This window comes from Homo sapiens, chromosome 12 (genome assembly GCF_000001405.40).
Source record: "Homo sapiens chromosome 12, GRCh38.p14 Primary Assembly".
NCBI classification, from domain to species: Eukaryota; Metazoa; Chordata; class Mammalia; order Primates; family Hominidae; genus Homo; species Homo sapiens.
In genome coordinates this window covers 19,908,244-19,923,723 of record NC_000012.12, presented here as the reverse complement: position 1 = coordinate 19,923,723, position 15,480 = coordinate 19,908,244, and the positions used below count along the sequence as shown (strand labels likewise).

At 36.8% G+C, this 15,480-nt stretch overlaps 1 pseudogene; it reads left to right on the top strand.

The window, feature by feature from the left end:
- Window positions 1-87, top strand: LOC124903095 (uncharacterized; annotated as a pseudogene).
- The last annotated feature ends 15,393 nt before the right edge of the window (window positions 88-15,480 follow it).

Genomic DNA, 15,480 nt, shown 5'->3' with positions numbered 1-15,480 from the left:
AAGTGTTACAGCTCTTTTAGAATTTGTCTGTCAGGTATTCCAATTGTTCTTTTTTCTTTCTTTTTTTTTTCTAACCAGAAAACCCCTCACAGAAAAAGAAAAATCCTGGATCTTCAGGAAGTAATGAAGAGCATAAGAATTAGTAAGCATTGGCAGTAAATATAAAAGACTACTTTTTCTTCTTAATTTATAAATAATGCATATGACTTTAAAGCAAAAGTTATAACATTGTCTTATGGGATTTAGATGTATGTGATGTGATACACGTGACACTTATGGCATAAAAATAGCAGCCTGGAGAGGAAGGCAAGTGAAGCTGTGTAGTTGCAGGGTTCTACATCTTACAAAAAGCAATAAAACATTTATCCTAAATAGACTGCAAAAGTTAAGGACATACAATAAAATCACTAGGAAAATCACTAAACATAAATAATACAAAGAGGTATAGCTTAAAAGCCACAAAATACCTTATATATTGTCTCAGTCCCTTTGTGTTGCTATGAAGGAATATGTGAGGCTGGGCAATCTGTAAAAAAAAAAAAAAAGGTGGTTTATATTCAGCTTACATTTCTGCAGGCTGTACAAGAAGCATGGTGCTGGCATCTGCTTAACTTCCAGGGAGGTCCCCAGCATGCATCCACTCATGGCAGAAGGCCAAGGGGAGCTAGCCTGTATAGTGATCATATGGCGAGAGAAAAGAAGCAAGAGAGAGGGGAAAGGTGCTAAGCTCACTTTTAATAACCAGCTCTAGAAGGAACTCTTATAGAAACTAATAGAGTAAGAATTTATTATCAAGAGGATGGCACCAAGCCATTAATAAGTGACCTGCCCTCATGACTCAAACACCTCCCATCAGGCCCCACCTCCAACACTGGGGATCAAATTGCAACATGAGACTTGGAGGGGCCAAACAAACCACATCCAAAATGTAGCATACAGAGCTTTAGAAATATTCGAATAATTTTTTTAAAAGGTAGGAGAAGAACAATAGTGGAATAAAAAGCACAGGAGCAAACAGAAGAAAAAAATGCTATGGTAGACATAAATCCAATCATATCAGTAATCTGATTAAATATTAACTATGCAATCCAAATAGAAGGCAGAGGTTCTCAGAATGGATTAAAAAAGCAAGAACAAATATATGCTACCCAAGAGAAACACAATTTATATATAAAGACATAAGTTGAAATAAAATCGATTAAAAATATATATACGAAGCAAAAAGTCAGAATAAGAAGGTTGAAGTGCCCGTATTAATATCAGATAAGTTAGACTTCAAGGCAAATAGTATTACCAGAGTTAATAAAAATAATAAAGGAAGACATAAAATCATAAACATGTATGAATCTACTACCAGAGATTTGAAATATATAAGATATGAGGGCAGAAATTGGCAAAATTAAAGGGAGGATTATGCAATTCTACAATCAAAGTTGGAGATGTTACCATCTCATGCACAGCGATTGAGGAAACAGCCAGATACAATCTCAGTAAAAACATAATCTGAAAAATACCATGGACCACCGTGACATAATTAACAAAATCAGCAACTGCAGAATTCACATGATTTTCAAGTGTACATGTAGATGATATATTCACTGTATTAGTTTGTTCCCACACTGCTATAAAGAACTACCTGAGACTGGGTAATTTATAAAGAGAAGAGGTTTGATTGGCTCACAGTTCCACAGGCTGTATAGGAAGCATGGCTGGGGAGGCCTCAGGAAACTTACCATCATGGCGGAAGGCAAAGGGGAAGCAGGCACATCTCACCATAACAGAACAGAAGAGAGCAAGCAAAAGGGGAAGTGCCACACACCCTTTTAAACAACCAGATCTTATGAGAACTCACTCACTATCATGAGAACAGCAAGGGGGAAATCCACCCCCATTATCCAGTCGCCTCCCACCAAGTCCCTCCACCAACTCTGGGAATTACAGTTTGAGATCTGAGTGGTGACACAGAGCCAAACCATATCATTCACCAATATAGAGCATAGAACCATAAAACAGGTTTCAATAAATTTTTAAAAATCAAAATTCTACAGAGTATGCTCTCAGATTGCAATAGAATTAAGTTGGAAATCAACAATGAAAACATACATATTATTTCAATACCTCTGAGATTTTAGAGCAAGCAAAAATTTCTCAGAACTCAAAGACCACAAATAATTTAAAATTTTATAAATTGGGCTTCATCAAAATTAAAAATTTTGCTCTTTGAAACACATCATTAAGAAAATGAAAAGGCAAACCCCTGGGCAAAATATTTTGCCACACATATGTACAGCAAAAAACTTTGATTCAGAATATCTAAAGAACTCTCACAACTCAATGAGAAGACAAAAACCCAATTTTAGAAGTGGGCAAAAGTTGTGAACACTTCACAAAAGAAGATATAAAGTATATGAAATATGAAGTATATGAAAAGATGCTCAACATCACTAATCATTACAGAGATTACATATTAAAATTACAATAAGATACAAGTACACATTCATTAGAATGACTTTGTTTTTTGTTTTTGTTTTTTGAGATGGAGTCTTGTTCTGTCACCCAGGCTGGAGTGCAGTGGCACAATCTCAGCTCACTGCAGCCTCCGCCTCCCGGGTTAAAGCGATTCTCCTACCTCAGGCTCCCGAGTAGCTGGGATTACAAGTGCCCACCACCACTCTTGGCTAATTTTTGTATTTTTAATAGAGACAGGGTTTCACCATCTTGGACAGGCTGGTCTTGAATTCCTGACCTCGTGATCCTCCCACCTCGGCCTCCCAAAGTGCTGGGATTACAGGTGTGAGCCACCATGGCCGTCCAGTATGACTAAATTTTAAAAAATAAAAATAATCTTACCAAGCCTCAGTGAGGTATGAAGCAACTGAAAATCTCACTCACTGCTTTGGATTTGTATTAGTCTGTTCTCACATTGCTATAAAGAACTACCTGAGACTGGGTAATTTATGAAGAAAAGAGGTTGACTCACAATTCCTCAGGCTGTACAGAAAGCATGACTGAGGAGGCATCAGGAAATTTACAATCATGGCAGAAGGCATAGGGGAAGCAGGCACATCTTACATGGCCGGAGAAAGAGGAAGATAAAGACGAGAGAGGTGCTGCACATTTCTAAACAAGCAGATCTCATGAGAACTCACTGTGATGAGAACAGCAAGGGGGAGATCTGCCCCCATGACCCAATCCCCTCTCACCAGACCCCTCCTCCAATCCTGTGTATAGGGGATTACAGTTCAACATGAGATTTGGGTGGGGACAGAAATTCAAACCATATCAGATTTTGTGGAACAGCATGGCCACTTTGGAAAACAATTTGACATTTCATAAAGAGTTAAACAGCTACCTGTCATACAACTTAGCTATTCTACTGCTAGGTATTTACACAAGAGAACCCAAACATAAAAATTTGTACATGAATGCTCATAACAGCTGTATTTTTAACAGTTAAAAACTGGAAACAACCCAAATGGCCATCAACAGATGAATGGATAAACAGATTGTGATACATCCGTATCATGTAATACTAAACTATCGAGACATACAACAAGGATGAACATCAAAATTATTATGCTTAGTGAGAGAAGCCAAGCAAAGAAGAAGAGTACATACTACATAATTGAATTTATATAACATTCTAGAAAATGCAATCTGCAGAGACAGGAAGTAGGTCAGTAGTTGCCTGAAGATAGATGAGAGACAGATTACAAAGAGGAAGAGAAAACTTTTGGCTGTGCTGTAAATGTTTTGTATCTGGATTTTAGAGATGATTTCATGGGTATATACACACGTCAATGAAATTGACATTGCCAATGTCACTTGATCAAATTACACATTTTAAACATATGCATTTTATGCACGCTGGACTTAATACCTGGGTGATGGGTTGATAGGTGTAGCTAACCACCGTGGCACATGTTTACCTATGTAACAAACCTGCACATTATGCACATGTATACCAAGGCTTAAAATAAACCTATGTATTTTATTATACTTCAATAAAGATATAAGAAAATTTTAAATTAATTTAGTGTTGAGAGGGCAACTATAGAAAAAATAAGATGAGCCAAGGGTTGATAATTATTGAAGCTGGGAAACAAGTACAGGGGTATTTATTACAGGATCAACTTTACTTCTGCATATGCTTAAAATTTTGTTAATACAATGTTTCTAAACTTCTGTAGAGAGCCTATTCAAAATACAATCTTGGTTTCTTAAGAAATCTGCAGAATTTTCTGGTCTTGGTAGTTGCTTAGCACTCTAATCTCTGTATTTGCTGACCATACTATAAGGTGACATAAACTAAGTATATTAGTTTATACTCTTGTTATATCTTTGTAAATGAACCGGGCCAAAGACCAGGTTTTTTTTTTTTTTTTTTTGGAGATCAAGAATTATTTTTAGAGATTATTTATGATTATAATGTGGGACTGCTAAGGAAAAAAATATCCAAAATTTGGAAAAAGGCAAAAGGATGACTACATTTTCTTTCAAGTCATGCACACACACGTGTAGCACACACATTCAAAGATTATTCAATTCTCTAAATTATTTGCCTCTGTTTGATTTACAATTTACTATTGATTAGGGTATTTTACCACTCAATGAGGGTAGATGTTGACTTGTAGAAAAACTTATAATGTTCATGTATATGAATGCTTGTGATTTTTGCACATTGATTTTGTATCCTGAGACTTTGCTGAAGTTGCTTATCAGCTGAAGAAGCTTTTGGGCTGAGACAATGGGGTTTTCTAGATATAGGATCATGTCATCTGCAAACAGAGACAGTTTTGACTTCCTCTCTTCGTATTTGAATACTCTTTATTTCTTTCTCTTGCCTGATTGCCCTGGCCAGAACTTTCAATACTATGTTGAATAGGAGTGGTGAAAGAGGGCATCCTTGTCTTGTGCCGGTTTTCAAAGGGAACGCTTCCAGCTTTTGCCCATTCATTATGATATTGACTATGGGTTTGTCATAAAAGCTCTTATTATTTTGAGGTGTGTTCCATCAAAACCCAGTTTACTGACAGTTTTTAACATGAAGGGATGTTGAATTTTATCGAAGGCCTTTTCTGTGTCTATTGAGATAATCATGTGGTTTTTGTCCTTAGTTCTGTTTATGTGATGAATTATGTTTACTGATTTGCCTGTGTTGAACCAGGCTTTCATCCCTGGAATGAAGCCAACTTGATCCTGGTGGATACGCTTTTTGATGTGCTGCTGGATTTGATTTGCCAGTATTTTATTGAGGATTTTTGCATCAGTGTTCATCAGGGATATTGATGTGAAGTTTTTTTGTTGTTTCTCTGCCAGGTTTTAGTATCAGGATGATGCTGGCCTCATAAAATGAGTTAGGGAGAAGTCCCTAGGCGATGGGTTGACAGGTACAACAAACCATCATGGCACATGTTTACCTATGTTACAAACCTGTACGTTCTGCACTTGTATCCTGGAACTTAAAATAATTTTTTTAAGAAAACTTATAATGATGCAAATGATTCTTGACAAATAACAATGAAAATAAATTTTGTCTCCTAGAGATTAGTAGAGATGTTATATAGTAAATCCAAATGACTCCTGTCAGGTAAAAAAAAAAAAAAGATAACTCCCAATATTATATTTACTTGCTCTAGAGGACATTGACTAGATTGTACCTAACTTAGCAATCTTTCATTCAATATTTATTCTTTCAGTGACTACACTTGTTCTCTAGTATACTCCTTTGAACCAGATTTATCACACTTAGGGCTAATTAAAAAGGTAAATCTTTAATGTGCTCACTTAAAAAAACTGTGTAGAAATACCCAAATCCTATATTAGTATCAGGCATACTATCTCTCCTTAAGGATCTCATGGAGACATAAAGGAGCAAAGGCAAAATCAAACAACACTTTATTGATATTGGCACAGCCTGAAACCCCAACGTGGAGCTCTATGTTAATTGGATTCAAGAATTAAAGAGTGATTTTTCCTTCTACCTAGCCCCAAATCTAAATTTTATGATCAGGCAGCTACCCCAGATTTTTTAAATGAGGAGAGTAAGGTGGGTGGCCAGACTGCCCTATGGATCAGCCTGCCTGCCAGCCACTTGGAAGAAAGAGAGAAGAAAGGGTCATATCCATAGGTAACCTTTAAACGAGTATCAACCCTTTGGCAAATGTGGCCTAATCAGCATCCTGAAATTTGATAAATCAAATTAGCCACAAAATCCTTTTTATTGTGGTGGCAAGGATTAGGAGAGGGGCTGGGCCTTGAGTTAGCTAATCCCCTAGATAGATGCCTATCTTCCACAGCAAAATGGATGTGAAAATAACCTGGGATAGGTTATCATCTAGCTGGAGAGGCCAGACTTTGAACATTAAGTAGTGTTAAACTAAATTTGGCCTGAGGATGTGAGTCCTTTCATAACAAACTGCAGCCTCACTTAGCACATAAACTAACAGAAGACCTAATTTAGGAGTACTCCTGTAACAATACCTGAGTCTCAGCCAGTGACAACAGCTGAGCTTCACTTAATTGCAGGTGGACAACTGATCAGATCTTGTTCAAATAAGGCAAACACCGAGTTGTAACCAGGAGAGCTATCTCTGCATCTTACTTCCTCCTCTGTTTATTAATGCTGCCTGACCACACTGTGGACTGGAGCTCTCCGAACCTGTTCTCGTTTTGAGGGTTGTGGGTTCAGGAATTATTCTTTGCTCAATTAAGCTCTGATAAATTTAATTTGATGAAAGTTTTTCTTTTAACAATAGTAAGACAAGAGCTATCAATACAGATGTTCTAGGGTAAAGGAAGGAAATATTACTATGGACCGGGGTGTTGTAAATGAAATTTGATGGGCAAAATGCAAGATTTTTTTTTTTTTTGGAAAGAAGCAAATACAGGAAAATCCAGGAACGCTTTGGGGTTCTAGGGAGTGGGAGAGTACAGATTCTATCCTGAGATACCAATTTTAATTCTTAAGAAAGAAGAGAGACTTTAATAGAAATTCATGCATATTTAAATAAAATATAAAAAGATGATGGGGGGAGGGGAGAGTCAGTGCAGCAGGACCAGAGGCACAATGCTAAGTTCTAACACACACTGACATCACTGCAATACCCTGGAATAAAGGAAGCCCTAGCTTCCAGCAGTCGGGACTTCTCTCTCTGCAAGCATAGCCTCAAAGCACCTCTGATGGATGGCTCCCAAGACATTTCATTGCTTGAAGTTCAGCAAGTTTGAATTACCCTCTAGACATCAACATTAACTTCACAGGTACTCATTGTTAATCTCCTACTAAAATAAATTGGATTGGATGAAAGAAAATAAAGGGATATGAGGTGGAAGAAGGATGTGTTTGGTTGGGAAAAAGAAAAGAGGGTGTTACAGAGGCTCAACTCCAGACTGATCAAACAATGAAGCTTGGTATGAGCACAGAACCTGCAGTGGAAAAGCCAGTCCTGGCTATGCCACTAGCTGTCTTGGACAAGCCATTTAACCACTCTGATCTTGTTTCCATATCTGTAAAATCAGAGAATTAAATCAAGAGAAATGATCTCCTAGCTTCCTCCGACTCTAATATTTTAAACTTTAATTGTGAGCACAAGAAATTAAATTTAACAGTAGACAAACAATAGAAAAGGAAAGGGACTCAATTTCACAGAAGTAAATCAGCAACAATCACTGGTTCTAACCCCTTTACAAAACCTTTCAGTTGTTTACTTTCTGAATAGAAATCAAGCATATTAGAGAATGAGACAATCACAGTCCTATTCACAATACTGAAACAAACATAAAAAGAACCTCAAGGACAACAACAAAAACACATGGTCATTGTTTTATTAATGAGATGCTGCCTCCTGCAGTACAAGGTCAACATAACACTTAAGCTTCAAATGTTTGCTCACAGCCAGACCATTTTATTTTAGTAGTCTTGCTTTGGGGAAGGTTTTTTTGTATGTTTTTTGTTGTCTTTTTTTAATTAGGGTGATGGGAGAAAAATGGGATAGCGCTTTTAAAAATTGCAGTCATTTGAAGGAAAATGCTTTCTGACTAATTATGCAAGTGTCTCTGAGAGTTGGTTGCCTTCACACGTTCTCTGGAGCCTGGCTTTCTTCTCTGTGCTTTGTGCCACCTGGTTTGCAGCTGAACAAAGAACAATCCTCTCCCTTTTGCATTAGTCTTGCTTGAAGAGTTCATAAGAAAACAGTGATACCAATTGTGGCAGGCTCTTGAGAAAGTGTAATTACACAGAAACAAATAGGGTATGTGTTAGCCTAAATATGTCTGGAGTGATTTATTATACTTGTTACAGTTCAATAAGTTTTTGTCTTTGATGTGGGGGTTTTCACTGAGGAAAATGTATGGCAAATTCTAACAGTAAAATCAGCATTACAAGAGCATGAACTCTGGATCCAGACTGCCTGGGTTTGAAATCCAGCTCTGGCCCTTACCAGCTATGTGACCTGGATTAAGTTACTTAAACTCTCTGTGCCTATTTCCTCAGCAATGAAATAGGAATAATAGTAAAACTTATATTCTTGTTGAATGAGTTAATATTTATAAAGCCCTTAAAACGGCATGTAGTCAGTGCTACGTAAGTATTGACTAGCACTGTATAAATATTTGTTCAAGAAACTCAGAGGGGGATGAATGAAGACCTAAATTCTTACTTTTTAAAATATTTTTCCTTTCATAACCAGCAATCATGTCTCTTTTTTGCATCTCTCTATCTTTAATAATTGTTATCTTTTTCCTATCCTTTTTTTCTCAGATTATTCTTTCTTGTTTTCCCACCATTACGGAGAAAGTAAGAATCAAAGTATCATAGAGCAGGAAAGTATTTCTAATGGGGTTTAGTCCTTTCATCCACAAGGAAAAAGAACTGAAACCTAAAGAGTTTAATTGACATGTCTAGGGTCAAATAAGCTGATAAATGGCTGCTTCCTATCAGACATTCGAAAACTCCTTCCTCTCCAAAACCCACTATTTCTGATACTGAACTTACAATTATTGCCCACCTCTCTTCTCTCTCTCTACCATACCTTACTCCAGCATAGGACTGGGGACTGAGTATCTTGCTCAACTGCATTCTTAATTACCTTTCTAATCTGGTTACTTGAATTCCCTTTTGCTGGCATACATAACGTGCCCACAGTTCTGGAACAAAAATGAAGACACGTGATAGGAGTTTTTTTTTATTTTTTTGTGCATAATATGTAAATTAACATACATAAAATGAGTTAGGAAAGCATAAAATTTAAATCACAGATGATTTTGCATTTGGAGAATTAACTTTATTTAAAAGAATGAAGTTGCATGAAATTCATACTGTTCTAAAATTCAGATGTGTACTCTCCTGTACGGGAGGAAAAAGTGGCTTCCCTCCACACTTCTGGATTGTTTGGGCAAAAAGTTAAATTAACATAAGGCAGATTAACAAGAGAAAAACCATTTAAATTACCTACATAGCATATGGGAGTTCCACAAAATGTAAGACTTGAAGAAGGGTCAGATGATTGAAGCTTATCTAGCATACTGAGCTATAGAAAGTAATAGGAACTTGAAGCTGCTAATGGGGAGGAAGGATGAGGACCACAGAAGTTATGGAAAGATGAGAAGAGGAAATGTATAATGAATAAAGGTTGTCCTATTATGCATAATAATAAATAAAAGGTCTCTCAGAGCAGCCCTCCTTTAGATATAGATATTTTTACTAATGTAGATTTCCTTCATGGATATAAATTTATTATCACACAAATTTTCAGTGTTAACAGCTTTTCAGGGGTACTCCTCTCGTGTCTGCAGTTCTCCGCTTAAAGTATGCCAGAGTAGTATATTTTGAGGTGGCATATGTTTCTTATGGTCATATTTTGGGATGATGTGTCCTGAGCCCCAACTATCCCATATGTACAGGCGTATACTGCATACAATTTTAAAAACATGCATATTCAAGCCTCTAGAAGCTTATTGCTTCCCATGTTGTGTTCTTTCAGTCACCGGGCAATGGGACCTAGGACCACCAAGGTATATACACTGGCACAATTTAATTATCATCATCATTTATTGAGTAACTACTATCTGCAAAGATTTGGTGATACATTAAATTGAAAAAAAGAAAAAAGGCCCAGCAGTGTAGCTCACAGTTTAGTGGAGAAAACAAAACAAACAAACAAAAAAAGACAATCAAATCGGTTAACTTAAAATGAAGAAAAACACACAAAAGTATTGGGGCCTCAGATAAGAGTTAAAAGTAGAGCAAAAGGTATAATTGGGAGTTGGGAGTCTAGTTGGGAGAGATATAAATAATTAATAAATAAATACACATAATTACCAATTGAGACTACCACTGTGAAGTAAAATATCTGGGTATGAAAATGAATGAGAAAAATAAACAGGTGGAGGCTAATTGATTTGGTGTATCTAGGAAAGTTTCTCCTGGAAGTGACCTGCAGCTGAAACCTGAACAGCGAGTGGAGTGAAAAGTGCTCTAGGCAGAACAGCATGAGTGCAAAGTCCTGATTCAGTAAAGGGCTCAGTGCTCCTGAGCTTTGGAAGGAGGCCAGCTGTGTTTGCTGGTTCTGAGCAAAGAGTGATGGTACAAGATGAAACTGGAGGTCATGCAGTTTGGGGCGGGGGAGGGGAGGGCACGGCGGGAGCCAGTGCGGGGTGGAGAGATGCTGGTCAGTCAAACTGTACAAAGTTTCAGTTAGACTGGGTGAATAAGTTCTGGAGATCTACTGTAATGCATGGTAACCACAGTAAATAATAATTTATCCTATACTTTAAAATTATTAAGAGCTTAGATCATAAATGTACTCATCACACAAAAAAATGGTAAGTGTGAGGTGAGGGCCATGTTAATTAGCTTTATTTAAATATTTCATAAAGTATACCTATATCAAAACATCATGTGGTATACTGTAAATATATGCAATTTTTATTTGTAAATTATACCTTAATAAAAAAGATGAAAATAAGACAAAATGAAAAAGATGAAGCTAGAGGGAGAGGCAGGAGCTGAAGCCTGCAGAGACTCAAAGACAATGTTGAGTTTGTATTCTATCTTAAGCACAGTTGCGAACCTCTGAAACATAAGCAAGAAAATTACATGATTCCATTTACATTTTAAATAAATTACTTACTGATTACTAGTATGAAGAATGAATTGCAAGGGATAATAATAAAAGGGGGAGACCAATTAGAAAGTTCATTCAGTGGTACAGTGAAGAGATGATGATGAATTTGAGCAAAATTAGAGGGTGGTAAAAACATGGGAGAAAAATCAACTCAAGACATACTATGGAGTTGAATGCATATTTGGTTCAGTGTGATAAATTGGATGTTAGCTTAAAGCAGTGGTCCCCAACCTTTTTGGCACAACGGACAGGTTTTGTGTAAGACAGTTTTTCCACAGACAAGGTTGGGGGTGGTTTAAGGATGATTCAAGCACATTACCTTCATTGTGTACTTTATTTCTATTATTATTACATTATAATATATAATGAAATAATTATACAACTCACCATAACATAAAATTAGTGGGAGCCCTGAGCTTGTTTTCCTGCAACTAGGCAGTCCCATATGGAGGTAATGGGAGATAGTGACAGATCATCAGGCATTAGAGTCTCATAAGAAGTATGCCACCTAGATCCCTCGCATGCACAGTTCACAATAGAGTTTGTGCTCCTATGAGAATCTAACGCCACTGCTGATCAGACAGGAGGCAGAGCTCAGGCGGTAAAGTAGGCAATGCGGAGTGGCTATAAATACAGATGAAGCCTTGCTCACTAGCCCACCACTCACCTCCTGCTGTGCGACCTGGTTCCTAACAGGCCATGAACCAGTACCAGGAATTAGGGACCCCTGGTTTAAAGGATACTTCCAGATTTTTGGCCTAAGTTTTCTTTCTCAATCTCAGCTTGTATTTCTTCATGCCCTAGTCATCTTTGTTGTGCTCCTGGCATACTGTGGAAAGATACAAGATAATGAAATCCAGGCTATGCTCTTAAAGTTTGTAAGCTCTATCATGTTATTGGCATAAAACAGACACATAGATCAATGCAACAGCATAAGGAGCCCAGAAACAAATCCACATGTTTATAGCCAATTGATTTTAATAAAAGTGCCAAGAACATACAATGGGGAATAGAGTATCTTTTCAATATATGGTGCTTGGAAAACTGGATATCCGTATGCAAAAAGGAAGAAAGAAAGAAAAGAAAAGAAAGGAAGGAAGGAAGAAAGAAAGAGAGAGAGAGAAAGAAAGAAAGAAAGAAAGAAAGAAAGAAAGAAAGAAAGAAAGAAAGAAAGAGAAAGAAAGAAAGGGAGAGAAAGAGGGAGAGAGAGGGAGGAAGGAAGGAAGGGAGGGAAAGAATTTCACTGTATGCCAAAATTAACTCAAAATGGATTAAAGACTTAAACATAAGACCTAAAACTATAAAATTACTAAAAGAAAACATAGGGGAAAGTCTCCATGACATTGGTCTTGGCAATGATTTTTTGGATATGACCCCAAAACATTGGGAATAAAAGCAAAAATAGACAAATGAGTTTACCTCAAACTAAAAAGTTTTTGCACAGCAAAGGAAACAATCAGCAGAGTGAAGAGACAGCCTATAGAATGGGAAAAATATTTGCGAATGATATATCTGATAAGGATAATGCCAAAATATACAAGGAACTCAACAGCAAGAAACTAAATAACCGAATAGAAAAAAATTAAAAATTGGCAAAGGACCTGAATAGACATTTCTCAAAAAGAGACACAAAAATGGCCAACAGATGCATTAAAAAATGCTCGACTTCACTAATCATCAGGAATATGCAAATAAAAACCACGATGAGTGGTTAGAATGGCTATTATCAAAAAGATGAAAGATAACAAGTGTTGGTTGGCAAGTATGTGAGGAAAAGAGAACCCATGTACTGTTGGAAGGAATGTAAATTAGTACAGTCATTATGGAAAACAGTAAGAGGTTTCTCTAAAAATTAAAAATAGAATTATAATATGAACCAGTAATCCTACTACTGGATATTTATCCAAAGGAAATGAAATCAGCATGTCAGATATATCTCTGCACTTTTGTGTTCACTGCATCATTATTCACAGAATCAACCTAATGGATGAATGGAGAAAGAAAACATGGTATATATACGCAATGGAATATTATTTAGCCTTAAAAAGAAGGAAGTCCTGTCATTTGTTACATGGATGAACCTGGAGGACATTATGTAAATTGTGTCAAACGACAAAATTATAACAAATTTATTTTAAAGATCTTAATTGGCTTTTATTTGCAATTCTAAAAGTGGACAACACCTCATTCTACAAAATAAAAAGAGTGGCCGGGCACAGTGGCTCACGCCTATAATCCCAGCACTTTGGGAGGCCCGAGGTGGGCAGATCATGAGGTCAAGAGATGAAGACCATCCTGGCCAACATGGTGAAACTCCGTCTCTACTAAAAATACAAAAATTAGCTGGGTGTGGTGGTGCGTGCCTGTAGTCCCAGCTACTCAGGAGGCTGAGGCAGGAGAATCGCTTGAACCCAGGAGGCAGAGGTTGCAGTGAGCTTAGATCGCTGCCGCTGCACTCCAGCCTGGCAACAGAGTGAGACACCATCTCTAAATAAATAGATAGGTAGGTAGGTAGGTAGATAGATAGATATACAGATAGATAGACAGATAGAGTTTCAATTAGCTGAACAAAGGAGGTTAGCTTTATCCCCAGAAAAGGAAACAGAGACACAGAGAGCAGAAACAGAGAACAAAAAGTAGATTGGGTGTTTCAAAGTTACTTTCCTTGTAAAAGTTAAAGCAGAGGGGACTCCCTTCTGCAGGTAAAACTAGCCTGTTTGGGGATTTGACTACTATCTCTCCTGATTTCTGGGAGAATCAGCTAAACAACTTAATTTCAGCTTGGTGGTGTGGAACTTTAGCATGAATAACTCCATTTAGGTTTAGTCTGTTGGGCCTAGTGCAGGAGCTCGGTCCAAACCAATGGCTTCCTGTAAATTGTGTTTAACAAGTGAAATACAACAGGCACAGAAAGATGAATACTGCATTATCTCACATACATGTGGAATTTTAAAAAGTCACACTCACTGAAGCAGAGAGTAGAATGGTGGTTATCAAGGGCTGAGGGAAAGGGGAAGTAGGAAAGGGGAGAGATCGGTCAAAGGATTCAAAATTCAGTTGTACAGGAGGAATAAGTTCAAGAGATTGATTGTACAACATGGTGACTACAGTTAATAACTATTATTTACTTGAAAATTGCTAAAAGAGTAGATTTTAAATGTTCTCACCACAAATAAATGATAGGTATGTCACGCAATGCATAATTAGCTTGATTTAGCCATTCTACAATGTATGCATATTTCAAAATCTCATGTTGTCCACCATAAATATGTACGATAAAAATAGATAAAGTTTGCAATCTTTAGAAGGAAAATGTGGATTGGCTTTCTAAATACATTTTCACTATGCTTTGAAAGTTCCAGGAAAACCTTCATGTGCCAAGACATCTCCTGGTATCTGTGCCTTAAATTCGACTCCTAGAATATTCATTTGGCCCTGGACAGCATTTCAGCTCTCAGTAATTTCCAATTGAAATGCAAACATGTTTAGCAAGGTTAAGACCATATATCATTCATCCACGTCAGAAAAAAACATTTTAACAGATAGCTGGGAGGAAGTCTTTATCTTGGTTACATCATTAGGTTGGGAAATGGAAACGAAAAAGAGGAAGGGCACTGAAAGAGGAAGTGGAGGATGCTCTTGGCTTTTTCAGAGTTTGGCAGAAGAGCAGCCTTGGATATCACTTATTGATTAGAATGTTATTTTCCTAGGATTTGAGTTTATGCAAATTCAAGTGGATAATTAGTTGAACCAAATAAGAAAGGTACATTTAGAATAGATTAGAATATTGTAAAGACTGAGAATAAACCACACTGTGCTTGCAACCACGACAAAAGTAATATTGTGTGATGTTCTTTTTCCGTGCTTGGAAAGATCAATAATGAAAGTAATTATGCTGGGAAAGCACATCTAGCTAGATATGTAGAAAAAGAAGGTGTTTGGAGCAATTAAAGACAATGTCTTCAAAATGAGAAAATAATTGGAAGCTGAATGAGAGATCAGCAAGGACAGAGAGACCCAAGAAAAATCAGTACAAGACTCATTGTAAATCTAGATCTTGGCTTTTGACATTATATACATAAAAAATTACACAGTAAAGACAATTAAGAACATGCAAAAACAAACCTGAAAGCTTACAAGCAATTATATAGAGAATGCAAAGAGTATTCCAAATATTTTATTCATTTATTCATAATTTTAAAACTGTTCATTGAAACCTTGCTACATTGATATTGGAGACATTTTAATCCATTTATTGTTTCACTGATACTTTTGGCAACTATTAAGAACCTATCTTAAACAGTGTAGGGTCCAATTTATGATTTAGACAGTGTACTCTGAGGGGTTGTTGAAG